The 3,012-nt window shown below is 41.0% G+C and overlaps 1 protein-coding gene across 1 annotated transcript; it reads left to right on the top strand.

The window, feature by feature from the left end:
- Window positions 1-686: 686 nt before the first annotated feature.
- DEFB128 (defensin beta 128) lies at window positions 687-2,545 on the top strand. The gene is made up of 2 exons (NM_001037732.3): window positions 687-823; window positions 2,280-2,545. The coding sequence occupies exons 1-2, from the start codon at window positions 775-777 to the stop codon at window positions 2,510-2,512; spliced, it is 282 nt and encodes a 93-aa protein (NP_001032821.1). The 5' UTR covers window positions 687-774; the 3' UTR covers window positions 2,513-2,545.
- Window positions 2,546-3,012: the final 467 nt, after the last annotated feature.

Genomic DNA, 3,012 nt, shown 5'->3' with positions numbered 1-3,012 from the left:
AAGGAGGGATTTAAATGTGAAAAGAAACAGATTAAGGAAGTAAAAGTTCAGGAAGGTGTACCCACTAGTTTGGGAGAAACATAGATGGTTCCATAAAATGTCCCAAGAGAGGAGAGCAGAGACCAGTTTATAATAAGTTGAGTGCTGTGCTAAGGAGATTTGATCTTTTGAAAACTTTCAGTTGTTGAATTTTGCTCTACTAGATGGACAAGTCTTTATGGGAAACTCTCAAATAATATCAATTTATCTAGCCAAACCTAAAAGCAATCTTACTCCTAGAATGACTATCTGGAAGCTTTATACATTAAAAAAATTATTGTTGAATATGCTTCTGTGTCGACTAATGACTTAATTTATCTTCCAAACTGGGTTAGTTTTGTTAGAGGCAGCAGTAGCCGGATGGAACATTGGAACAATAGGAATAAGACAGGATTATCCCACACAACCCAAGGCCCACGACCAACCAACCTTGACCCAAATGGGTTGGAAGCTCAGACGGAAAGTCATAGTTCCTGCTCTCTAGGGGCGCATATCCTGAGGAAGGGGGAGGAGGGATGATATGGTGGAACATTCTGGGACTGTGAGCTCCATATTTGGGGATGTAGGTGTGTGTGTTACGGGGGTGGACTTGGAATTCCTCTCTGTCTGTGTGGGTTAAAATGAGAGCTCCGAGCGCTGATAGCTCTCAAAACTCTGGATCATCTTTAAAGACCTGTGGCACACAGACCACTGGACAAAGTTCTGCTGCCTCTTTCTCTTGGGAAGTCTGTAAATATGAAGCTGTTTCTGGTTCTCATTATTCTGCTGTTTGAGGTACTCACAGGTAACTTGTCCAAATGTACTATAACATCCTAAGAGATATTACTATTTGTAAGAGTGGGAACAGGACTTTCAAGATTATTTATATTTGGCCAAAATCATAAAAAAGTACCCATTCTCCTGGTTGCCTGACTTGAGTCTATGCCTTAGAAGAGAGGCACCCAAGGAGGTAAGAGGAGGTCAGGGCTATAGTGGACTCTCAGGAGTCCTTTTCAAAAGTATCCATGAACTCATCATCTAGAATTATCTTTATAATGCTGGACACAGTTTTCACCTGAGAGCCTGGCCATTCCCTTTTCCATTCAAATTCATTTTCAGCCTGTACTACAACAGTAATTAAAATAGCACACATTTTGGAGTCATGTCAATGTGAGGTTAAAATATGTCTTCATCATTGACGGGTTGTATGAATTAAGCACATTATTTCCTTTTAATCTCAATTTTCTCATCTGTGAAGGAGTATAATTACTATATTTCATGATTCTATTTGATGTACAGGTTACATGAACTTACAAGCACGAAGCACAAAGTTCATCGTAGAAGCCCTGTCAGTGAGAGTTACCTTCTCTCTTGCTAGGAAGAAGGCATATTGTATTTTTATGGCCCCAAAATATACTCCTCTAACCCTCAAAGATGTTCCCTGATTCTGAAGTTTAGGATAGGGAGAGTATGTCTCTCTTCTCCAACCTTATTCTTTGGGCTTGTTCAAATTTTGGGTAGAGGGGCAAATAAGGATTAGAAACAAGAGACTTAGAATTTCAGTGCATTACTCTGAGAAGGTGACAATGTAGCTCTCTAGAGCCAAATTCATGGAATTGAATTTGATCCCTGGGCAACACATTTATCTGAGATCAAGGGGAGTGTGATGAGTGACAGACAGGAGGAGCCAGGTTAAGGGAAGGAGTTCTCAATAGCACCTGTTGCTGAGACCCATGAGATCTTGTCAAAGGGAGATTTCTGTTGCCCATATCAGTGAGTGTGAAACCGAATTAAGTTAAAAAGTCTTGTTTGTGATGTTCTTTCAAAAGTTGCTTTGGCTGAGTTGTGCCAATGGTGACATGTCTTGTGCACATGGTGACATGTTAGCCGTCTCTGGGGACATGAGACTGAGATGGAGCTGAGAGAGTGCTGACTTTGGAGCTTGGTGGAGAGAGTCAGCTTTGCCATGGTCCTAGGGGTGGGACTTGGCTCTGGTTGATAACCAGGAATTGAGTTCTCTCTTCTCTTTTGTCATATCAGTTCTAATGTTCTCAGAGGCAACTGGACATTGGCTGAGAGCCTGGGCTTTTGAATGTCCTTAATTTGGGATATTTTTCAAGGAGGGGCCTCTGAGTTTCCTTTTATCAGCATAATGTTCACTTGGGACCATAGGAGGCCATGACTTGTGGGGAACCACATACCTACCTCTTCTGCTCTTCCTTACGCACTAACCTTGGTTCAATGTTGTTTCCTATGCACAGACGGGGCAAGACTCAAAAAATGCTTCAATAAAGTAACAGGCTATTGCAGGAAGAAATGCAAGGTAGGAGAAAGATATGAAATAGGATGTCTAAGTGGGAAATTATGTTGTGCTAATGATGAAGAAGAGAAAAAACATGTGTCATTTAAGAAGCCACATCAACATTCTGGTGAGAAGCTGAGTGTGCTGCAGGATTACATCATCTTACCCACCATCACCATTTTCACAGTCTAATCCTAAATCTAGCCCTTGTCTCGCTGGTCTCCACTCTTCCTAAATAAAAAGTGCTGCCTAATCCAGCAGCCTGCAGCAAAAGATTCATCTGCTTCCTTCTGTGAACTTGATTCCCCACATAATAAAGTCCTGTGCTTTCCTCTGAGTACATTTATTGATGTAGTCACTCATTTTTTGAACACTTCAAACATAAATGAATGGTTGCCATGTTCCTGGTTTTATACCAGTAAGATGGGGGATATAAAAATTAAGTAAACATATTGGTAGAGGTGGAATTTAGCCTTTCCATTTTTAAGAAAATAATTTCAACTTTTATTTTAGCCTCAGGGGTACATGTGCAGATTTGTTACATTGGTGTACTGTGTGTTGTTGAGGTTTGGGGTACAACTGATCCCATCACTCAGGTCCTGAATATAGTACCCAACAGTTAGTTTTTCAACCCTTTCTCCTCTCCTCCTTCCCTCTTCTATTAGTCCCCAGTGTCTATTGTTCCCATCGTT

The sequence above is a fragment of the Homo sapiens genome, chromosome 20, assembly GCF_000001405.40.
Source record: "Homo sapiens chromosome 20, GRCh38.p14 Primary Assembly".
Lineage (NCBI taxonomy): Eukaryota > Metazoa > Chordata > Mammalia > Primates > Hominidae > Homo > Homo sapiens.
Note: the sequence above shows the minus strand (reverse complement) of the source record. Positions and strands in the feature narration are given on the sequence as shown.

Coding starts and splice junctions, on each gene's coding strand:
- DEFB128 (NM_001037732.3), top strand. CDS start 775: ATGAAGCTGTTTCTGGTTCTCATTATTCTGCTGTTTGAGGTACTCACA. Junction 824..2,279: donor GCTGTTTGAGGTACTCACAG/GTAACTTGTCCA, acceptor TCCTATGCACAG/ACGGGGCAAGACTCAAAAAA.